Below are 25,614 nucleotides of genomic sequence, written 5' to 3' on the forward strand. Positions count from 1 at the left end.
TTGGCTGAAATATGTTTTATGTTATATAATCCACCATGTGTGTCTGTTACTATAGAAGCCACAGGTTTAACAAATAGTTTAGTCTTAACAACAACTACATTAACTAATTTTAGTAGAAAATGTAGTAATAAAAAAGATACACGGTTGGATTTTATCTTACTTTATTTTGTTCTTATTTAGGACCAAAAATCTCAGGCATATTTGATAGGATCCATTGGTGTTAGTGGAAAAACCAAGTGGGATGTCTTAGATGGTGTAATAAGACGTCTCTTTAAGGTATGTTGTGCAAGACACCCTAATAGTACTTTTCAAATATGTTTCTCTTTAATTGTTTTCCATAACTTCAATAGCAGAGACACATCTTCTTTTCCTCTCCTCAAATAAGGAAAGCTTTCTGTTTGTGCTATTTGATATTAACAGTTCTTATATTACCCATTTCTAATATTCTTGACAACTAGCTCTATATCCCTGTGAGTTATGTATTTGTTGTAGATGAGTTGAACCTCTGTTTTGATTTTATTTTTTGTGTGTACCATTGTAGGAATATGTATTCCGAATTGATACATCCACTAGCCTTGGTCTGAGCTCTGACTGCATTGCTAGCTACTGTATAGGAGACTTAATTAGATCCCATAACCTAGAAGTGCCTGAATTGCTGCCTTGTGGATACCTTGTTGGAGATAATAACATCATCACTGTGAACCTCAAAGGTAAAAGCAATAATGAAAAGCAAGGCAGAAATATAATTTTTAGCAACATTTTATTCTGCCCCCCGCCCCTTTTTGGCCAGTTTCCCTTAAAATTTTTCTATTTGAAAACTCTGTAGTATTTTAAAAATCAATATGACTCATTTCATACCAAAACTATTAAATACTACAATCCTACTAAAAACACTAGAATATAAAGAAATTTAGTTCTTTGGGTTCTGGGATTTGAAGATTCAAGACTCACAAAAAGGAATGTGATTTAGGAATTTCAAATTTCTGGATTTTCTTCATTATCATCCTTCATTACAGGAGGATTCAAAACATTTAGTGTGTATTCCAAAGTTACATATTCATTGATATATCTTTGATTTTAAAATGTGTATGCCTAATAAATACCCCCCAGGAAGAGGGAATAGAAGTTAAGAATCAAGGATGGAAAGTTCTGAGAATTTTCTTTGCTTTAGATGATGTGATTAATTATAGGCTAATGTAATATCTGAAGCATCTTTGTCTTCACAATTCCTTGTTTATTTATGTTAAAGAATCAGGATACATCTATATAAACTGTGAGTTAATAGAGGAATTTGTCAATATTTGATTTTATGATGAAGGTAATTGAGTTCGTAAAATGAGATACTGTTGCTCCTTTCTTAATTCCTTGCCAAACGTAACAATTTGTATTCTTCAAAAGCTTGAGTGGTTGTACAACTAGGATGCATAATGAGAGATAGAAGAGAATAAGGAGATGGGGTGAAGAGAAAGTAAAAGAAAGAACACACACACACCCATATATATATATATGGGTGTGTGTGTATATAATCTTCACATTTATTCTTCACATTTATTCTTATAGTCTTCACATTTATTCTTAACAAAGATAATCATCTTCAATAAAAGATGTTATGATAGCATTTATAATGCTTCCATTTCTCTCTGGAAACATAAATGAAAACAAGAAGTAGACAGTGGAGTGAAGCCTGAAGAAAAAGAAACAGCTTGCTTTTGTTTAGATGTTCACTCTGCCATATTACTGATATATTTTCTTCCTTGAAATGGCAACGCATATTTGTGGGATAGAAATATCTAGGAAATTATTTTTCAAGGACTCTATTCCTATGACTAACAATGCTGTTGCTGTTTAGCATGATATTTTAAATTCTAGCTTATGTAGAACAATAAATCATGCTATTTTTTTGTTTCTTCTTTCAGGGGTAGAAGAAAATAGTTTGGACAGTTTTGTTTTTGATACGCTGATTCCTAAACCAATTACCCAAAGGTACTTTAACTTGTTGATGGAGCATCACAGAATTATACTCTCAGGACCGAGTGGTACTGGAAAGACCTATTTGGCAAACAAACTTGCTGAATATGTAATAACCAAATCTGGAAGGAAAAAAACAGAGGATGCAATTGCCACTTTTAATGTGGACCACAAGTCAAGTAAGGTATGTTACAGAATTCTAAGAGAACAGCTACAATTTATCCATAAGTGTTTTAAGCAATCAAATTATAAGATTTTGTGAGACTTCCATGTTGTACATGGAAAAGAATATCCATCTTTTTTTTACTAGAATTGTAACCTGGTGAGTGATCAAACTCTGTTTCATGAATTTGAACAAGACTACTATTTTCAGTAACATTCAGTTATCAGGTACTCCCTAAGATATTGGGAATATACAGAATAATATGACAGGTCTCCTATGGCATGGTTTCTCTTAGACATCCACCTAGAAACTGTTACAGTAGAAAGAGGTCCGTGCACAAGCAACAAGGAAGAATAACTTTTCTTGGAGGCATCAGAGCTTTATAAAGGGGTAATAGTTTGTTGGATCTTAATAGATAAGTAGGAAATAACATGGGTTTTGCAGGAATGGAGATTTGGCAATAATTAGAATATTCCAAGCAGATATTCTGGGAGCAGCAATTTGCTTATGTCACATCTCCCTAAAATTTTTGTTTAGGAACCTTAGGAAAGTTAACAACATTCAATTTCACCACCATCTACGGTCTAATGTGCCATAGTAATCAGCCTGAACACTCAGATATTAAAAAGGCATGAGGGCCTATACGGCGTAGCCTGTACTTTCTTATTTTCTGAGTAAAACAAAAAATCCTAAAAAGGAAATAGTTGATGGCTAACATATTTTTAACACTAACCTAGTTTTACCTGTAATTATTTATTAAAGTCTGAATCAATGAAACCTAAAAGTTTCTGTCGGGAAAATGCAACTATTATAAGCAATACCTTGAGGGAATCCCAATTATACTGGGTCATATTACTCTTTCAAGGATAACCTGGTTCAATGATCTAAACTGTCCCAGTTTCTCAGAAACCTGAAATCTGCAAATTTTCAGAAATAAATGTGACTCCCAAGAGCAGCCCAAACCCATTAGATTCTTGAAATAAGCCAGGCATATAGCTTAATGAACAAAAAGTATTAATTTTCTCACCTGTAAAATGAGGGAAATAGTAGGGCTATTCTAAAGACTAAATAAATGAGTGTGTATATGCATGTGTGTGTCTGTGTGTGTGTGAGAGAGACAGAGAGAACAGCGCAAGTAGCAAGCACGATATAAGAGTTGCTTGCAATTTTTAATTATAGCCCTTGGCTCCCAGTGAAGATTTCTCTCACAAGCATACACACACATATGCACAGTGCACGCGCACATACACATACAACCACACACACACACATCTTTGTTCAAAACCGTTTTATATGTGTCCTTCAAAAACAACGATGTACATAAAGCACAATGGGATCTCTTAAAGTTAAATAAATGCAATACATAAATTCTGAATATTTCCTTGGAACTCAGACCTATTCAAATGTGGTTGAACCACCATCTAAAGAAAGACATAGAACCTGAGGTAGAGTATTTGGCTCTTCTCTGAGCAAAAGTAGGAAGAGCACAATTGTCTGTTTGCTTCAGCTGACATGTTTAATGCTTCCTGTGAATTCTGTCTCCTCATATCTTTATATAAAAGCCTTTTAGCACAGTTTTAAATATTTTCAGCCAAAAAATATGAAAGGTTTGAAAGGCCTCTTAGTCATCCTCAATGTTTGTTTTTTCCTCAATGTTGGTATGACAAAACTCTTTACAAGGTACTTTTTTTATGGAATAAAAAAGTGTTTAGAAAATAAGAGCAAAATAGATTTATTGGAGGAGACCATGACATTTTGATAAAGTTGAGGATCACTTAAAATCGTTTTGAATTAAATAGATGAAGTTTCATTAGAATGTAGTTAACATGCTAAAACAAAATAGGTAATTCCCATTAATTTTAAAACATAGCTTTCCCTAAAAAATATCTATCTGTCTATCTATCCATCTATCTATATATGTATGTATATATTTCAGCTTAGGAAAAAAAGTTTATTGCTTAGAGATGTTCTGTTAAGAACATGTTAGTGTCCTATTAACTTTTTTATGAAATATTTCCGACACTCTTATTTTTTGCTTTTTCAGAGTACAGGCTATTTGTGCCATTATTAGGCCAGTTCAGTACTTCATTGCAAAATAATGGGCAGGGGAAAAGCATTGCCAAGCATTGGCAGAGCTAATGATGCTAGGAAACAGTCATAGGAAGAAACTGTTTTTATTTTTTTATTTTTTATTATTTTATTTTATTTTTATTTATTTTTTTTTTGAGACAGAGTCTTGCTCTGTTGCCCAAGCTGGAGTACAGTGGCACGATCTCGGCTCACTGCAACCTCTGCCTCCTGGGTTCAAGCGATTCTTCTGCCTCAGCCTCCTGAGTAGCTGAGACTACAGGTGCCCACCACCACACCCAGCTAATTTTTTTAATTTTTATTTTTAGTAGAGACGGGGTTTCACTGTGTTAGCAGGATGGTCTCAATCCCCTGACCTCGTGATCCACCTGCCTCGGCCTCCCAAAATGCTGGGATTACAGGCATGAGCCACTGTGCCCAGCCCAGAAAGAAACTCTTGAACAAATCACAATAGCATTCATTCCCAAGAAAACACAAATTATAACTAAAAAATATTTATTTTTTATGTTATTCCTTATGGTTTGAAGATATGAACAAGCTATCAGTAATGCTGAATACAAACTCGTTGCCAGAAAATTTGGACAATTTTTGCCAAATTGACAGAGAATACCCACTATTTTCCTGGGAGTTGGGGGTGAGGGTAAGTGAGGATAAATATAAAAAAAGAGGGGATGACAAGTTGAGATTGTGTTAGGGATACCAACAGTGTAGATTTACTGAAGTAACATGATAATGAGGCATGAAATAATAAATCCTGTTCCTGAAAACCTGGAGCTGTGTAAATGCTGACGCATTTTATGCTGTGCCATAGATAGCACTGAAGAGACAAATCCAAAAAGCACTTACTGATTCAGAAAAAAAGAAGAAACTCAAACCACAAATCATCAAATGAAAAACATCTTTTCATGTTTTCAGTACCTCTGCACTTTACATTCTGTTCCTCTTCCCACACTTCAAGCCCTCCCTCAAGCTGCCAGCTGGAATATTTTGATTGAGAGCAGTACACATAAACAATTACACTTTGTGACATTCGATATAGTAGGCCCAGAGGGCTAGAGGTGGATTTAGTAGAGAATACATGGTCAGCTGAAGCCATTTGGAATGTTAGGCTGGAAAAGATCAGAAAACTGTACCTGATAGATTCCTTTTTAGTGTGTCTGGAGTCAGCATCTGAGAAAGCAGTGATCTACCATTTTTATGTAACTGTGGTGTTCCACCTGTAGTTTCAGAGTATGGGATTCATCTCATTGCCAACTCCCATCTGGTAGATATGCCTGTTTCCTTCTACCTGACTAGATCTGGAAAAAAGACTTTTAATGCCGGTGCATCAGTGCCTCAATCTAAGATTTCATTTTCATCAAGCTAGAGTGGGTATCATGAAGTTATTTCAAGGGAATCTGTGAAAAACTCCTCTAAGTTATAGGAAAAAAGTTTATTTATGTTTGCCTGTTTCTACATCCATTGCTTTATACCTACCATCAGATTCCCAGGGGATCCACTACCCTCTCAAGATGAAAGAAAGCCACATTATAATTAGAACCTAAAGGCTCTGATTGTCCAAAAATGACCCAGTGACCTGCTAATTACAAAACTCAATTCCTTTGTGCCTCCCCACTCTCTCTCTCTCTTTCTGACATTCATGTTATCATTTTCTCCTTGTTTCCTGCTCCCTGGTAAATTGCTTTTCAGTTTTTTTCTCTCTGCTCTTCCTTCACTTCCCAGTAAATGAAACTGTTTTTCTTTATAATGAACTATTCTGTTCTCTCTCACTTTTATTCTCCTTTGGATGACTCTTGTGGCTTCAACTTGGCTTGACTTGTGTGGTTGACTTCAATTAAACACTATCAGCCATGCCCATTCTCCCAAATTTGTAAGCTTTCTATCATCCTACACATATGTTTCTATTCACCTACTAAATATACCTGTTGAGAATTGACAATTTCAGCCCCAAACACATATTATAAGTTTATCCTCTTCCATTGCTTTCCAACAAAACCACCCTCCACCCCAGATTAACATCCTCCTCTGTTGTTTCTTGGATTTCTACAATTATTTTTTAACTACTTGATACACGATTTCCTTTAAATTTCCCTTCTCTCTTTTTTTGGGATATATTCATTCACCTCATGGAACATAGAATATCTTTTCATAATTAAAATCTGATCAAATTTTTCAATGTTTTCTTATAGATTTCTGTACTACATCAAAAACATCACGTTGTTCCTTGTTCAGTCCCTTAGTATCTCTAGGCTTCAATAATTTCAACATTCTCTTGGCTGGTCTTGCTTCTTCCTTTCAATATGCTCACCACATGTTAAATCACCATTGTGACTACTTACTCAGGTCACCAGAAGAATGTTTCTTCACTGCCAAAAGGAGATGTCCAGCGATCTTACTAATCATTTAAGGTTGCAGTTTCCTTTACAATTTCATTACCACCATTTCCTTTCACAAAACACATATTCTTAGCTTTTTTCCTACATGGATATCATATTTTCGTGTTTCTGACTGGTTATTCTTCTCTATTTGGAAAGCTCTTCTGTTGTGTTTAAGCATCAAGGTATTACCCAATCTTTAAAATAAGGGAATAATAGCAAATCATACTGCCACCACAGTACATTTTCCAGACGCTACAATCAATCTTTACATACTATAAACAAAATCTTTGATCTATACTTTTTTGAAGTAGTGTATTATTTTGACTGTGAATTATTGTTATATATGTATATGCCTGACCTTCTATTCCAGGAAGGTAATAAGCTTCTTAAATGCTATTTCCTTTTCTAATTAATTCTTCTATCTTTCACATTTCTGTTTCCTTGGATAAATAAATTGCTTTCCTCTACTGAAAACAAAGAAGCAAACAAACATATCAATGTTCCACACTTCTTTATATAATAAAATGCAACTTCTTCTGCATGGATTCAAAGTCTTTTTTTCTTTTTTATTGCCACCACCAGTAGCATGTACTATATTTTTCTATAACCACAGAACACTTATTTCCCAAAACACATCATACACTTACACTTTTCAGGTTTCACTTTTTATTCTTTAGATTTCAATCCTTTTTATTATTATTATTATTATTTGCTTTTTTTTCCCTTTTAACCACTGTACTCTGTTTTTCTGTGAACCTTAAGTCTGGATTAGATGCCTCTCTTATGTCTCCCTATAATGTTTTGTGCATTTCACTTAGCACACTGTATTGTGAATCACTTGCTCACCAGCTTCTCTGCTTATCAACTCTAAGTTTCTGAAAGACAGAAATTATGTTTTATCTCTAAATCCCTGGTGCCAGCAGGATGTGCCAGTTGGAATTAATCTCTTTCCCTCCTATAGGCCACATGCCTCCTTTATCCTCTCTCATGGAATGTTTTACCTTGCATTTTGTAAATTCATCATTATTTACATGTGTGCCTACCACCCCACTCAGGCTCCAGTGTTACCTCCTCCAGAAAACCATTCTTGACACCCAGCAGCTAGGCTAAATCTCTTCCCTTGACTTCTCATATCTCATAATATATTTATGATATTATATTGATATCATTTGTAACATTTAAATTCCAGTCCCTAATGTGACAACTCTTAGAGCTTGCAGGGGAAACCAGCCTGATTACCCTTTTTAGTCCTCATGTCCGGAAAAGTACTTGATGCAGTTCATAATAAATGTTAAACCTACTTAAACTCCATTGATAGCAGGAATCAGACTTCACTATTTTTGTATACCCAGGGCTTGGTCTAAGGCTATGAACGCAGTAGATAGACAGTGCATATTTTATAAACGAATGAATGACTTAATGTAGCTAAATTAGTGACATAAATTTTATTTTTTCTTTTGAAGTAAATAGAATTCTCCAGAATATTCAACAGTTTTAAACATATTTTTTTCTGCATTCTCTGACTTAGGCAAGATTTATTTTATGTGATTAGCTCAATAGAAAACAAATAGTACTTTATTTCCTTAATACATTTTTATATTTGAACATAAATAAAAATTACTAAATGCCTCAAAATCCTGGCCCGTTGTTTTATCTCCTACTTTTATTTCCAGCAGTGGTGTTACAGACAGAGAGAGGTTGCATCTAGAGTGAGCAATTCACATATTTACCTGGCTGCCAGAAACCAAAATCATGGAATTGTTTTATAACCCTGAGCACGATTTGCAAATTGAAAATGTCATTGTAAATATGCAAATATTATGGAAATGTTCTTACTGATTAGGATAATTTTAAGAAACCTAATTATGTTCCTGGCCTACCCATCTGTGAGAGCAGTCAATCAGCAAACTGGTTATCATATTTAGATTAAAAGCTATTAGACAGGAATAATACCTGTAAAAGAACCAATAAACTCAGGAGATGCTAAATTTTGTCTTTGTTTAAAATTACAGCAATTGCATGCAGATTATAAATAAATAATAAGCATACTTTTATCAAGGTCCTATGGCTGTACTTTTAGATATACCCCATCTACCTGAATTAGAATTAACACATTAAAAATATTAGTGGAACCTGAGAAATGCCATTTTGAATTTAGTTCATACTTGAAATATTAAGGTTGCTAAAATTTACTTTTATCATTGAATACCAAAACTCAGAATAAAATCTCAATATATGTGGTTTATCATAAGAGTTCATATCCAGAACTCATTTTGGCTTTTCTTTCAGGGAGAAAACCACTTAGAAATATGCCGTCATGTTTATACTTTTATATTTGCTGCAGGTGTTTGGTACTGGATCTTCTATTGCTTTCCTTTTTCTTGCTTTCATTTAAAAAAATTATTCTGTCAGCAATATATGGTTTTTGATTTGTAGGAAAAGATTTTACATCAGTTGAATAATCTATGACTTTAATGAAAGAAACGGAATAGAGGACAAAGAGTGCTATTCCTAAAATATTAACTGCTTCCTATTAGTATAAATTTATCACTGACGTATCTGTTTTCTTCATTTTTTAAAAGGAATTGCAACAATATCTAGCTAACCTGGCTGAACAGTGCAGTGCTGATAATAATGGAGTGGAGCTCCCAGTTGTAATAATTCTTGATAATCTTCATCATGTGGGCTCTCTGAGTGATATCTTCAATGGTTTTCTCAATTGTAAATACAACAAATGGTATGCTTATCAAATATTCTGAATAATGAAATATGAAATAATTATCATCAAATTTGCCTTCTTGTACCTGTATGCATTTTTAAAATTTGTTTAATATTTAATTTTTATTTTTTAAATTGACAGATAAAACTGTACATATTGATTGTGTACACCATGATGTTTTGAAGTAAATGTACACTGTAGAATGATTAACTCCAGCTAATTAACATGTGAACTACCTCAGTAGTTATTATTTTTAGACTTACAATGGCTGTCATTAATTTGAGAAACCCTCTTTAATATTATACCACAGTTTTAAAGACTCCATATGCATTCCTTAGAATATCTATGTATTCATTCAACAACCATATCCCAGGCACTCTTATGGAAACATTACTTCCTTGATGATGTTAGCTTCTGCAGACATGATGAACATTTGCGAAACCAACAACAACGTTGGAATAGTTTTAATCAGGAAAATTAAAAACTAACTGGAGCCTTTAGAGCTCTGGTTTCATTCTCAGTTCATATTAAAGTTTAAATTCAACCTTTCTATAGAGATAAACTTAATATATTCAGATATAGCTCCCTCTATTAATGAGTATGATTTTTAACTATTTACAATAAAAGGAAAGGTTAAAGTAAGGTATTAAAAAATCTTAAAACCCACTAAAGATTCATTGTGGCATGGCCTCTAAAGAAAGGACATATAAGAATATCAACATAAAATAAATAGTTTTAATAGTGTCAAATATTCCAATTATCTCTGCTAGAGATTTTTGGAAGTTACAAACGATCAGCATAAAATAAGGAATGAAAGAATACAAATTTTCTCACAATATTAATATTCTTTAACATAACTATGAAATATTAAAATAGTAAAAGTTAATAAATTTTATCATAAGCATTATAAGATGTTAGAGTGGGACAAAACCCCTATGATTATACTAACTAAACTCTTTACTCAAATACTGTAAATTACAAATAAACTCAGGCTCGGAGAGAGAAAATGCCTTGCCTTGATTCCAGAACTGGAATTAGAAACTCAAGTATCAATTTCTAGTCCAGTGATCTTTGTCATTTTCCATTACAGAATTACCCTTTAAAAGACAAATATTGAAATGGAATAATCCATATCTATCCTAGTAGTTTTCCAAGATAATTTTAATGAATTAATCACTTTTACCTCCAGTAAATTAAAATTTTCTATTTATTTTTTTCTAGTCCATATATTATTGGAACAATGAATCAGGGAGTTTCTTCATCACCAAATCTAGAGCTGCATCACAATTTCAGGTAAAGTTAAGTTGAAGGTTTTTTTGTTTTGTTTTTTTGTTTTGTGTTGGGGGGGGCAGGGGAGGGGGTTGGCATTGTTTCTTCCTGTTTGTTTTTGTGGTTTGTTTTTCCATTTGTACTTTGACAAATCTTGCCAGAGATGACCTGTGGTGTGAAAATAATTCTCACTTCTGACACTCTTTCTCAAGCCAACGTTTTGTGATCTTCAACCTGTAATCAGATGTGTTTCTTTAAACAAAAACAAAAAAAAAAAAAAAGGAAAGAAAAAAGAAAAGTAAAGTAGATGTTTTTTCTGTTCACTATGTCCCTGGTTAAAGTAGAGCATATTCCTTCTAAGTGTGAGAAATGTGAAGAGAGTTGCTATTTCAGGATTTGTGATTCTCCTACAGAAGAGTGATCAGCATTTAGACTCCCACTCACTTCTGACGCACATGAGCTTCTTTTTAGCTCAAAAAGTAGAGTTAGCTACATTATAGCTCTCATCCTAGTAGACCTCCTAACACCTTTGATCATGAAAAGGTGGCCACCAATTGAAATGGGAACATTATTACTTTCTATTGGAAAGTAATAATGAATAAATAAATAATAATGATAAAGAATCACTGTGAATGTAAAATTTAATTTATATAAAAATGTCTGATTTTTTTTCTTTTTGTAGGTGGGTATTATGTGCAAATCATACAGAACCAGTGAAAGGCTTTTTAGGCAGATATCTTCGAAGAAAACTCATAGAGATAGAAATTGAAAGGAACATTCGCAATAATGACCTAGTCAAAATTATAGATTGGATTCCGAAGACGTGGCATCATCTCAACAGTTTTTTGGAAACACACAGTTCTTCTGACGTTACCATTGGTGAGTTCCAAAATTATAATATGCCATTTTCCAGGAACTAACAGTGCTTGGTAAAGACGGCCAGATTGGATGGTAGAAAATAACAAGCAAAGCTAATGCTTATTCAAGCTTCCAAAGATTTATTTTTTTCCCTTCTGAAAGTTTGCGTTCTTCTTCTTTGTATCTCCAATTAAATCCATTTTGTCTTGACAGTTATGTTTTACTAAAATATTACCGAGATCAGATAAGTTCAATATGGGCAAATATCTAAAAATCAGATAACCACTGGAAATGAATAGTATCGATTTAGGATACTTTTTATGCTAAAAACAAATTTGGCTAAATAGCTCATGTCAAATAAAGTTGTGAGGAAAGATGTTAGTTACAGATAACTTAAACGCTTTGTAGATAATTTAAGTGTTTTGTGTTTTTCATGAAGACAAAACTGTTTTGAGTTATTTCTCTTTTAGTTTGCATAAAGATATTTACATTTTTATTCCTTCTTTAATTGCATGTACAGAAGTCTCTTTCACATTGTTATGCATCATAAAAATGTACTCACTGTCAACACAGTTTAGATTAGGAAGAAGAATTCTACACTGGGACCAGAACACTCATGCCAGGTCCCAATTCTGCAAATAATGACGTGTTTTATATTTGGCAATTCATTTCAGCACAGCTTTATTGCTTGTAAAATGAAACAGGATAACTGCATTATGACTTTTATCATTTCTCCTGACTCTAGTATATTGTGCCCTAGATTAATATTTATTGTAAAAAGATAGAATAGGCTAGGATATTGGGTCTTCAGTAAACATGCTTTAATAATAATCAAGCTGGCCAATAATACAATTTTCTAGGAATTTTGCAAGAAATATATTATATTCCAAAATGGTGTCTAGATATGTGTTTAGATTATTAAATATAACTCTTAAAATATTTTGTTATTTATTTCTTATCAGGTCCCCGACTATTCCTTCCTTGCCCCATGGATGTAGAAGGTTCTAGAGTATGGTTCATGGATCTCTGGAACTATTCTTTAGTACCTTATATTCTGGAGGCAGTGAGAGAGGGTCTTCAGGTATAGTACTCAATTTTCATTGCTATTTTTTTTTAAAAAAAAAAAGCAAAAAAAATTACTTTAAAAGCAAAAAAAAATATCTGGGTATTTATGCAGAAAACTAAAGGCATGAACTATATGAATAGAGCAATAAGGTTTTCAAGAGCAAATAGTTTGTAATATTTTGCCTGTTCTGAGAACAAATTTGTAAGAGAAAGAAAAGGCACAGTTATTTCAACAACTATACATTTAAGTCCAAATGGTTGTCATGGATGTTTACAGGTTGTTTTTATTAGACAGCTAGTTAATTGCACAGTTCTACATCTTATGACACAGCCATGTTTACATGAGCCTTGACCATTTATATTCTTATCACATAATTTCCTTTATCTTTTTCTTCTTTTCTTTCTCCTTCCTTCCTCACTCCCTCCCTCCCTCCCTCTCCCCCTCCCCACTCTCTCTCTTTCTCTCTCTCTCTTTCTTTCTTTGTTTCTTCTCCTTCTTTTTTTTTTTTTTTTTTGAGACAGGGTCTCACTCTGTCACTCAGGCTAGTGCGCAGTGGTAGAACCATGGCTCACTGCAGCCTCGAACTTTTGGGCTCCAGTGATGAGGCTTTCCAAGTAGGTGGGAGTATAGGCACACACCACCACACTCAGTTATTTGTATTGTTATTATTATTATTTTAGAGACATGGTCTCGCTAGGTTGCTCAGGCTGGAATTGCTTTTTCCTTTTTTTCACATAATTTTTGACAAGTAGCTTTTGCTTGTAAGTTTCCTGTTTTTAGTATACTTCATTGTTGGAAGCCCTTTAATGTCACTTGCAGGATCCTTTACTATTTTGGAGAGAGTACTCTAAATTCTAAGAGAGTCAGTTGGTCTTTTGATCTATGACAGATTGGTTTCACAGCATCTTTGCTCTTCCTTTCATGTGCCTTCTATCTTGAGGCCCTGCAACCAAGGCCCTTCTATTTTTTCCTAACTAAAAGATGAAAATGTATCACTAAAAAAAATCCCTACTTCTCCAACAAAATACATGTCATTTTTCCATAAGTATTGCTATTTCCTTAAGTTTGATTTGAAATTGTAGAATTATAAAACTCTTTAAAATCTGTGTAACATAATCACCCAATTTATTGAGGAAGGATCTCATCTCCTTTTCAGTAACTCAGCCAAGACATCTCTATTTCTGGTTTTTACAACTACTATTAGAATTAAGATATAGTTTATGTTTTCCACATTCAGTCATCTACAATAGTGTGTTGTCTTTATTTTGCTATCTAAAAAAATTGTCCATCTATTTTTCCCTCTTTTACTCCCTTTTACTGTCAGGCTCTCTTTATCTATTGAATGGCATGGCAGTATTTGGAACTAAAATGATAGTTCTGGTGAACATGATGAATTTTATGAGGATACTCTGAAGCCTCAGAGATAAAGCTAAGATCCTAAATAATGCTATTGATTGGTTCTACTCTAGATTTAAATAACCAAATTTAACACTTTTAAAGGTATGAGCCAATCTACCCCAAGCAGAAGCCTCCAATAAAATAAAAGCTTATACAGATGTTTTTATTTTTCAAGTATAACATATTGTGTTTCAGAATTCTTAGAAAACTACTATAGGATATACATTGGATCTTTCAATGTTGATTATTTGTACCAAAAAAAATCATTTTATGAAAATTTTAGAACTCATAATTTTGAAGTTAATATTTCGATACATTATTTGTTCTCTAGCTATGGTTTTGGTTTTAATAAACCATTATCTAAGTATTTATAAATAAAATTCTCCTCATTTAATATTTGTTTACTAATAGAAAGCAAAGGAATCTTTGTAAAAACCTTGAAATGATAATAGTTAAAATGCTTAGCATCCTTAGGTCTTATTTCAAAAGGTACATGGGTTCTTTTTTCATATTTAAATTAATATTATTTATAGAACATTATTTGGAGAATTATAATTCTATGAAGTTTCCATTTGGGCAAAAGTATAATCACTTAAGGATTAGTTTCTCAAACTAAAACTGAGAGATATTTCAAAATTATTTTTGAAGAGGGATAAAAATGTCTCATTTCTTGCTATGGTTCAGGATGTTTAGAAGTAGGTTAGTGTGAAAGATGAATCAACCGTGATTTAGGGCTTTTTGGGGGAGGGGAATCCAGCACATGGGAAGGGAAAAATTGGAAAGTCCTTTTGTGGGTAGACAGTTTTCATTGCTATTGAAGACTATGCTGGGCCAGAAAAGTCTATCAGCTGAAAATATTTCTAGGGGAGCAAGAAGCAAAGGAATTATATCTGTCGTGATCCATTCCCATGGATTTACTGGCAACAAAGAATCTTGGATTGGAGAAAGAAGTGGAGAAACAAAGCCTGGTAGCAAAAATGACACTCTTAAGTTTAGAGTAATAAAATAATATCTTCAGATGAAGGCGGATTTTTTTGGTGAAAAACCTTATGGGGAATGCACTCTGCCAGATGTTTTAGTTGGAAAAAATGTTGGTGATACAATGGATTTTGATTTTTTTCTGGTGGATTCTTTCTTAACTAGTCAGCTATCAATTCATCTCATTCTGAATATTTAGAGTTCTCTTTGTTCAATTATTTTTTCTACAATATGTGTTTCACTCGGAAATATAGTGTTTGGCCCATTTAGCTTTTCACTGGTCTCTTCCAATTTTGCTGTCCTGGATGGTTCTTTAAAAACCTAGAATTAATTGATTCTAGACTTACATTAAAACAAACAAACATAATTAAGCTTTCCAAGAATTATACATGTTTTTCTTCAATTGGTTTAAGTTGTGTAGCATGCTATATGTTACATCTATAAAGTAAGTTTGTAACTGAGAGGAAACTTTTGCTCTAAAACAAGATAACTATTTTTAAAAAAAGTATAATGATTGTACCTCTGTTACCATCTCCTAAGGAAATGCACAGATATCAGTACCTAGACTCCCTTTTATTTTAGGTAAGTCCAACTTCTCCAGAAGAAACTCAAAAGAAAACTCCAAGGCAGTCCATGAAGTTTTTATGGTGTTAATGTCCACCATTTTCCCTTTTGTCTTTACTGAACCAAAACAAACTATACAAAACAGCCATCTAACAACAAACCAAAGTATGTCATCTGAGACCAAATAGGCACCTACTAACCAGGATTGTCCTTGGTAAAGCAAGTCAAATGGGGAGGGAAAGTAATTTAAGGAAAAAGTGTCCCTATGTTACTGCCCCCTTCTCTTAATTTTCACTTTTTTTCTGTGCCCTTGTAATATTATACTTTTTTTTTTTTTTCACAATGTCTCATTCTTCTCTTCAGGCTGCCCTTTCTAGTTTGGGTTCAGCTTTGCTTGCAGCTTAAAAATGTTTAACATCTCTTGGATTTATCTGATTCTTCCATTCCACTGCCAGTACTTTAACCAGGCTATATCAGCTCTTACTTATTGGGCAAATTGCACAATAAGGGTTCTTGCAAAGTTGATAATTCAGTTTCCTATTTTTTATCCTCTTTTACTAGTGGCCTGAAACACAAACATCTAAAAAGAGTTTTTCCAAACACCGCATGTTCTCACTCATAGGTGGGAATTGAACAATGAGAACACATGGACACAGGAAGGGGAACATCACACTCCGGGGACTGTTGTGGGGTGGGGCGGAGGGGGGAGGGATAGCATTAGGAGATACACCTAATGCAAAATGACGAGTTAATGGGTGCAGCACACCAACATGGCACATGTATACATATGTAACAATCCTGCACGTTGTGCACATGTACCCTAAAACTTAAGGTATAATAATAAAATAAGATAAAAAAGAGTTTTTACAGAAAGCAATGGGATTAAAGAGCAAGTTGATCACAGGAAAATTGTTATCAGAGAAAGTTTTCCTACTCTAAAAGACAGTTTGAGTAGAGTGAATTAGGCAGAGAAAAATAAGTTACTTTTATTTTATTTCCATCTTTCCAAGGTACACTTTAGTAGAGAACTCTACTTAATATCAAGCATATTTTTTAAAATCTTCCATAATTGAAGCTTTTATTTTTCAACCTTTAGTTTTCTCTTGGTTTGTCAAATTACTAGTAAATGTGGGCAGTCATTTCTATGTTTATTTATAATAAACCTCCCGTATATTCTCCCCCAAAAGTTGACATCTATTCCAAATATTCAGCTTCATTTTGTCTAGCCTTCAAGTTTAAAGTGAGCTATGTAGACAGATACATGTTTTAAATCTGCAAAACTGTATACAGATACTTAATTCTCTTGAAAGTCCCTTAAGAACTCAATATGTCAAAAAATCACATCCAACTAGCAGTCCCCTTTTTTGCTGAATAGAAATGCATTTTATATATATCCTAAACGCGTGGTCAACTTTTAGATGTATGGGAAACGCACACCATGGGAAGATCCTTCAAAGTGGGTGCTTGACACATATCCATGGAGCTCAGCAACTCTGCCTCAGGAGAGCCCAGCCTTACTTCAGCTGCGACCAGAAGATGTTGGGTATGAAAGCTGCACATCCACTAAGGAAGCCACAACCTCAAAGCACATTCCGCAAACTGACACAGAAGGAGATCCCCTGGTAAGAATCAGATGTTCATTTCTTCCTATGTAATCTTGACTACAGTGTATAGTCATTAATATTTAGTTATTTCTAGCGAAGACATTTGTTATCCTAAGCAACATTTGGAACAGTTTTAACCCTATTATCTTTGGCCTGCTTTCCATGGATGAAAATCTTAAAGTGAAAACCAAACTTGTATGCTTAAAAAGAAATCAAGAAATGCTACAACCAGAATGAACTCCTAGACTATAATGTTTCTCTTATTATGCATTAAATTGTGTATATAATTAAATAAATATAATTTTCTATATTATGACTCAATTCAATAGGCATTTAAGAGAAAACTCAATTTTTTTCTTAAATAGAAAAACAAAAGTTATGGTATAATGTACTCATGGAGAACTAAAAAATATTTTGCCTATATCAACTAACCTGACTAATTTTATAGAATGGGTCTTCTCTTGCCTACTGTAGCAAAGGATAAACTGACTTGGAAGTCAAATGGAAGTTATGGTTTATTTACTTTCTAAAATAGTGGAATAATTGAAATAAAAGTCTGTAAAACTCCAAAGTATGAATATTCTGAAAATTTTAAGTATGTAGTATTATTAGGAAAAAAAACACTTTTTATATATCTATTTTTATTTTTACAGATTACTTTCAATATATTGGTATCAAATGTGAAGTGTTACTAACTCACCATTCTATGAGTATAGAGCTTATTGGACTTTTACAACCAGTACAGAAAGAAAAGATACTGAAATAAAAATTCATTATGTTGCTTAAATCAAACTAAGACAAAACATAAATAATTAAAAATCATAACCTATGGCTATACCTAAGGATATAAAATTACTTGATATTTTAAGGAATACCCTTACACCAACAACCCTGACACACACATCATCATCATCATCATCTCAGCTGAACATTTTGGGAGTTTCTTGTGGAAAACCTGATAAACTTTCAAGATCCTTTACCCAGCAAAATGCATACACACTGAAAATTTGGCATACAATTTTAAGAGTTTCATAAAATCACTGAAGTATATATATAGACCTACTTAGATTCCAGGGATTTCCTGCTGATTTCTGATCTAGGCGATATCTTCCTTAAGAGCCCAGACTTATATTTTTATAACATGGTACCTGGCCTTTTAGATGATTCATAGTTAGGAATCAACAGTGCTGATGAAATTGGTTTGGATTCAGCATAATTGTGAGCATATACTAAATAATTGCTGATAGAATGATTAACAGAGTAAATATAAGCTTTAGAATATGAGTATGGATTATTTAATCTGAATTCCTCAAAAATTCCAGTCCTACCTCTGCAGTTTTTATATAATATGTCTGTTTTATAAGGAGAGGTGTTTATAAGATTTGTTCTCAGTTTTAGTCTGTAGAGTATGAAACCCTTAGGAAATGCCCACAACTTTCCCAATTCTCATAGTCCAGCTCAGCTCACCCCATAAAGCACTTTTTTTCCTGGTTCTGAATGCACTTGTCTTCTAGTAGAGGAAACAAATTCAAGGTTTTCCCTTCTGGCATGAGAATTGGGGTAAAAAAATTTCCTGGTTCCTAACCTGCTGCTCTATTAAACATCTTAAGAAACAGGGAGTTATGAGGTCTTACATGCTAAATGGTAAAAGACGTCATCTAAAACTAAATATTTGGCAGGCTTTCTCTGGTTTTAAAAAAATAAATATTTCTATCTTTTTTCTTTCTTTCTTACTTTTTTTTTTTTTTTTTTTTTGAGACAGAGTTTCATTCTCGTTGCCTAGGCTGTAGGGCAATGGCACGATCTTGGCTCACCACAACCTCCGCCCCCCGAGTTCAAGCAATTCTCCTGCCTCAGCCTCCAGAGTAGCTGGGATTACAGTCATGCACCACCATGCCTGGCTAATTTTGTATTTTTAATAGAGACGGGGTTTCTCTATGTTGATCAGACTGGTGACGATCTATCTGTTTTTATTTCTATGTATTTTTGTAATTACTAGCATGAAGCCAACATATATTTTCAGTCCATTCTAAATCAGAAATCCTACAAAATATCCACTATTTAGTGTCAAGAAACATCCACTATTTAGTGTCAGAAATCCCCATAGCAATGAGTGTAGCAAAGAAACAGGGAAGAAGAGAGGAGAGAGACTTTTTGAATCTGAATGAGGATGCAAGTTTTTGGTATATCTCACATTATTTTAAAAATACAATGTGTATTCACCATTAACAACAAAGAGAATGTTAATAAGTATGTCCTTAATGCTAAGACCTGGTGATCAGGAGATAACTACAGTATCATTTCTGATCTCAAGAAGCTTAAAATCCAGTAGTGAAGAGAGACTTCTACCTATATGAACTGCAGTAACATAATAGAGGCACATATTAAGTAAAATTGTGAGTTCATTGAGGAAGCAGTTAGAATAAAGCTTTACAGAGGAGATGCTTGAGCTGGATCTTGAATGATTAATAGGAGTTCACCATATGGTTGCAGGGAGAACATCCAAAATTAAAGAAATAGAATGTGAAACATTAGAGGACAGTGTAATAGAAATGATGAGTTTAGGGAACTATACACCAGTTGGTGGTAGGAATTAAAACTGTGGAAGTATACAATTGCTAGATCATGCTAAGCCTTGTTTATCATTGCAGGAAGTTAAAACGTTATCACAGAGACAGTGGAGAACTGTCAAAGGTGTTTGAGCCATGATTTACCTAGTTAGATCTGCAGTTTCTAAAGATCACTTTAATAACAGAGTAGAGAGAGGACAGACTGAAGGAGATAGGATGGAATCTGGAAGCTTAGCAGATTAGATGGTACCAGTGATGATAAGGACTTGATCAAGGTGTTAGAAATGATAAACATTAAATTTATGGCTATAGATGCCCTATTCCATTTAGTGTTGCTATAACAGACTATTTGAGGCTGGGCAATTTGTAAAGAAAAGAGATTCATTTGGCTCATCGTTCTGGTGGTTGAAAAGTCTAGGATTGGGCAGCTGCATCTGGTGAGAGCCTCATGCTGCATGAACTTACGGTGGAAAGTGGAAGAGGAGTGGGAGTGTGCAGAGAGGTCACATGGTGAGAAAAGAAGCAAGACTCTTTAATAACCTGCTCTCGCACATGAACTAATCCATTCCCTCCAGAGTGAGAACTCACTGACCCCTAACCAGAATGCCATTAATCTGTTCATGAGGAATCCACCCCCATGATTCAACACCTCCCACTACGACTCACATCCCAACACTGCCACAATGGGGATAAAATTTCGACAAGAGTTTCGGAAGTGATATATCACACGCAAACCATAGCAGTGAGTGTGGGGAAGAAGTGGGGAAGAAGAGAGGAAAAATATTAATACTTTTTGGAGAATTGTGATGTATCACGATAATGACTAAATCATACGTAATCTTCTCTTGTAAACTCCCTTGATTTGAATGCACAAAATAATACTAGGCAAAGGCAAAGTAAATCCCACGTATACATTTATTATGAATCTGAGATGTGGAATGTATTATAATGGAACATATTTACTATATGACACCATTTTAAAAAATTAAGACTTTAATAACAATACTATTACACAGTGAAACTTTTACAACATCCAGCATTCAAGTGATTTCAAACATTTGTGCCTAAGATACAACTGTATCTTTTTTAAAAGATATCATTTATCATTTCTACTCTTACTAAATCACTAGGGTGCTCAAAACTCAGTTTTATTTTACAGATCAGTTTCACCCAAATGCTTGAACATACAGGCAGCTGCTAATGAGTGACAGATAGATAAAAGAAATGGGAGAAGGAATATGAATGGACATGAAAGTAGGAAGGTAGGGGTGTGGGTGACAGAGAAAGAGAGAGGAGAGTGGGAGAGAAAGAAACTATGTTGAAGGAGACATTTGACTTTTTGGCTTACTGGGTTTAAAAAGTTATCACCTACTACTTTTATTTCATAACCTTATGTAGCTTATTTAATAAATTAGGAGAGTCAGATTGAAAATTAGGTTAAAACATATTTTCCTGAGACTATTAAAATGATTTCAAATTATGCTGTAACTGTAGTCTCTTTGTCAGAAAGGAATTCTTGCTGAAATTGGTGATTACCAGTTTATCATTTATTTCACAAGCATTTATCAAGCACACTTTCTGTAAAGAGCACACAAGCATGCATAGCTTAACATATGACCAAGGAATCGTTTTTTAGATTTCTCCTTTCTATTTCTGTAAGTTGGAAAAAAAAAACTTTTGATTATAGAATAATAAAATTAGTATGCATTAGGTAATATAAAAATTGTTACAATTTATAAAAACCCTTGATATGAAAACAAGTCCACTACCCTTGTAAAGACATGTGCCAATTTTTCTGTGCTTTCTAAAATCATTGAACCATTTATTCACAATTTGCCTTTAAACACTTTTTTTCCGAAAAAAAAAAAAAAGTCCATCTCTAACAGTGGAGCTCCAGATCTATCAAAATTCAAGCAATGTGACTGCTCTTTATTTTATAATACATGGAAATGCTAGCTGCCTTTCTCCCCAGGTGCTTTCATGCATATGTCCCTTTTACTAGAACAAACATTACCATTCTCCTATAAGGCTGGGAAACTTGAGACAGCCACTATTGTTCCAGATGATAGTTTTTGTTTTCAGTGATGTATCAATCATATTTTAGCCAGAAATTTAACAACACAAACTTGACAGTAATTCTTTCCTTCTCCCTCTTCAAACACTCATGGTCTGCTTCATTCAGTCACCTCCTCCCGAGGTCAGCTCCTAAACAGCAGATGGTGTGCTTGTGTGCAGCAGCTGGCTTCATTCCTCTCCATACCCTCCTTCTCTCAAGGGACAGTGCGTGTGTGCCTCTGTGTGCGTCTGTGTGTGTATGAACATTCACGACTTTCAGTTGCCATTCAATGCTTTCTGCTTCTCCCAGCCAAAAAGCTGGGAAGCTTGGCGTACTTTCCAGCAACGAACCCAGATGTCCAGCTGTGATACAGTTTCCTTTCCAGTCTCCCTGCTGGAGCAGTATTCATTCACAACCCCAAATAAAAGAGTTATCCAGAGGCCCTATTTTGTCCTTATGGTTTGGTGTTGTAGTCATGTTTGGGAGAAACAGCATAGGAGCCAGGGGCAACGAGTAAAAATCTAAAATTATTTTCCCCTGTTACTTGGATGGGATAAGATAGCTCTTCGGTGTGGCTCAGGGCCTTGTTTTTTATGGGCTGGCTTACTCAATGCATCATTGCCTACATCGATGTCTTTTTTCTTTCTTCAGATGAATATGCTAATGAAACTCCAAGAAGCAGCCAATTACTCGAGCACACAAAGCTGCGACAGCGAAAGCACCAGCCACCATGAAGACATTTTGGATTCATCTCTTGAATCTACCCTCTAGAGGGTGAAAAAAGTTAAGGGAAAAGACTTTGCTTTTAAAAAAATGTTTCAAAAGAAAGGTATTTTCACTAAACCACTGCCAGTATAAAAGCACCCTGTCAAGGGCCCTGACCCAGAGTTGTGGTCTCCAAGGAGGCAGCAGAACTAAGTCTGAACCGCCAAGATGCTAAATTGCAATGGAAGCTTAACTTTAGTTTATTTCTAAGCATTTTTTATATCTGTGGAGTAATAGAAAGCTCCATTACTCAACTGGAAAGGACCCTAATGACAGGGCAACTGAACAGATTGCACATGGGATAGCCAAACTGGACTTTCTTTGTTTCCTCTTTAAAAGTTTACAATGCAGACCATTTTTTGTCCCTTCCTTTTGTTTCCTCTGAGGGGCTGTTCGCCCCAGGCAGGGTCCATCTTTCTGATCTGTCCAACCTCCTTTGTGCCACACGGTGCTGGTCACAGGGCTTCAGTAGTGTTTGTGTTGTGCGCTCACCCCATTCCAGAACAAATCCAAGAGGCCAGTCCTCCATAAGCACAAATGGAATTGTGCAACCACCAGAAAAACACTACTGTGGCAAACTGGAGAAGTGCCAATTTAATTCTAACTGCCACGTTCTCATGATGTGCTCCACCAACTTTTTAGTATATGAGTCACTGGTTTTATAAGGTTGTTTTTACCACAGTGGTCTTTTTAAACCACCTGCCCACTCCCTTAACAAGAGTTTTATACCAATTATTAGTCAACACTGATAAAAGGCTTTTTTAGGGCTTTATTTGTTTGAGCCTTTTCAGTGAAAGAAGGAACATTTCCTATGGTGCTGTCTCACTGCCTTAAAACAGATTTCTATGACAGTTTAACAGTTGGTTTAAATCCTAAACCATTGGTAATTTCCACTGTCTTTTCATTTACAACCAAGCAACACCAGTTAACATAGTAGCCTCATCTCTATATATCTTTCTCTTTTTTTTTTTTTTGAAGAAATGGATAGGAGAAAGATCAGTATTTTTAGCCTTGTGAATAGATCGCTTTGCCTATCCTCCAAAATATTAAAATAACCCAGAAATGCTCTTTGACCGTCACTTAAAACCTAAGACATGTGGCGAAATTCCATCCAGTTCTAAGTGAAAGAGTTTCAGAAGGCAGAAGATTTTGAATTATTATCCAGCAGGGCTGGAAGCACTAGATGCAGCATGAGCACAACTATTCGGCTTTCCTTCCCTATTGTTTTTGTTTTTTTAATGAGTTTTGACGCATGTTGTTTTGATTGCTATTGTTGTACATGAGAAATTCAGCATTAAAGAACACTGAAGCGGTAAGGTCACTGTGGAAGAGGAAGCGTTTATACTGTAAAAGAAGGTTAGATTTGCACAGTCTACTGGGTAGGTATTGTAAATAATAATTTTTAAAACTTGCACAAATCAAAACAAACACAAACAAAATTGTATTTTATCCTGTTGGTGTTAAGAGGTGTTTCACTTGCTGAGATTTCCTGTACATTGCAAACAAATACAGAATGCAAACCCTCAAAGCTGTATTATCTGGTGTGTTTGTCCTGTATTTACAGTTGTTTTTGACTATGCAGGAGCTATCAGTGCTAGAGTGAGCATGCTTCAAAACTGTACATGAAGCCAATATATTTTTGGATAAGTAAAACTGTCTGAAAGTACATCTGTCATGGCAGGCTTTAAAGAGAGTGCATGAAAACTGATCAGTCATTGGAGAAGTTACCACCACACACAAAGGACAGGTTTTAAGTTTATGAAACCCAAGGGCTAGGCCATGGTATAGACTTCTTCTATGAGTGTGTGAAAATGTGTTACTTTTAGGACGTGTATTTGGTGCTACTCTCTGTGACCACCAATGGGTCAGTTGCTATAGAACAACAACACCACGAAACATCTGTGCAGTTTTCAGAGTGTCACAAAGTCAATAGGTCCTTACACGGTGCTATTGCCCTAAGGGAAATCCGAACTGAATTTATGCACATAGAATTGTCACCCTGACTTTGAAGCCTCAAACATGGATCAAATCTGTTGTGAAACATCAATATATGTAGCTGGATGAGTGACTAGTTTCCCTTGTATAATATGTGATCTAAGAAAATTGCTAATCTTTCCCTGCCATTTTGAGAAACACAGTCCAAACATGAGCATAAACAGAATTTCCTGCAATACATCCCAGTAGGTCCACCTAGTTTACAACTTAAACTAGTTTGTGAAACATTTGTCTGTATACATTTTATATTTTGTACATTTTGATGTAACATATCATGTAAATAGGCAGAAACAGTGAAATAAATCATCTGAAAAGTTTTGTAGTCTTTGTAAAGCCCCAACAATAAGTACTTGGTGTCAATGGACTTAACTGGATGATGTATTTTCTATTGGTTTATTGTTCCTCTAGCTTGTAAACCAGCTTGCATATATTTTTTTGCAAATGTGCACCCTGTATCTGTCTAAATTATTACTTTGCCATTAAAGTGGAATTATTTATTGACAACATGGTGTGGTTTCTATTTATGGAAAAAAATGAATAATTTTGCATCAAGAAGTGTCAAGCTTTAAAATGTTGCTTGCACTATTAATATGCCATCAATAGGACTGTATGCAAATTTCTATTTTATAAACATAAAAAGGGCTTCAGCTTTCAAGTAAATAAAGGTAATCAGTTTATCTTTTTCAATGATAGTTATTTAGTGAATATTTTAGAAAACTCTGAATAGTTTTCCTAAATAGCCGATGATAAAGTAAGAATATAAAATAAAATGTTGAGATTCACTGAGTTAAATTAACTCAATAAATGTTTCTTTGTTTTTATTGCATTAAATCCTCTTTTGAACTTTTAGCTCTAAAGATTATTTTAAAGCAAACTAATTATTTGGGTGGTAGTTTATTTATTTTAATAGAGAAGATTAAAAAAAGAAAAAAGAACCTGTTTTAAAATTATAATTTCTTTTTAAGTATCTTGGAAATCTCTTTAACCTCAGTAATTGGAATGTATATTTCTGATGGTATAAGTAGGATTTTAATTCTAAAAGCAGGAAAACTTCCGAATTAGAATAGTTTTAGAGCAAAAAAGAAAGGTATTAGTTAAAATAGACCAATCATCCATAATGGGTTATAATCAGTGCATTTGTTCCTTCACTCAATTGGGAGATAAGGAAATTTCCA

General features: G+C 34.2%; 1 protein-coding gene across 31 annotated transcripts in view; it reads left to right on the forward strand.

The window, feature by feature from the left end:
• The window catches only part of NAV3 (neuron navigator 3), a 641,149-nt gene extending 616,206 nt beyond the window's left edge, over nt 1–24,943 (forward strand). For all 31 annotated transcript variants that reach the window (XM_017020166.3, XM_047429817.1, XM_047429823.1 and 28 more), the window contains 9 exons: nt 181–276; nt 542–710; nt 1,917–2,152; nt 9,180–9,334; nt 10,538–10,609; nt 11,268–11,464; nt 12,406–12,524; nt 16,868–17,071; nt 22,331–24,943. In XM_017020166.3, coding sequence (XP_016875655.1) covers nt 181–276; nt 542–710; nt 1,917–2,152; nt 9,180–9,334; nt 10,538–10,609; nt 11,268–11,464; nt 12,406–12,524; nt 16,868–17,071; nt 22,331–22,450 — 1,368 coding nt within the window. In that variant the 3' untranslated portion in view covers nt 22,451–24,943. The remainder of the gene's footprint in view (nt 1–180; nt 277–541; nt 711–1,916; nt 2,153–9,179; nt 9,335–10,537; nt 10,610–11,267; nt 11,465–12,405; nt 12,525–16,867; nt 17,072–22,330) is intronic.
• The last annotated feature ends 671 nt before the right edge of the window (nt 24,944–25,614 follow it).

This window comes from Homo sapiens, chromosome 12 (genome assembly GCF_000001405.40).
Source record: "Homo sapiens chromosome 12, GRCh38.p14 Primary Assembly".
Taxonomy (NCBI): domain Eukaryota; kingdom Metazoa; phylum Chordata; class Mammalia; order Primates; family Hominidae; genus Homo; species Homo sapiens.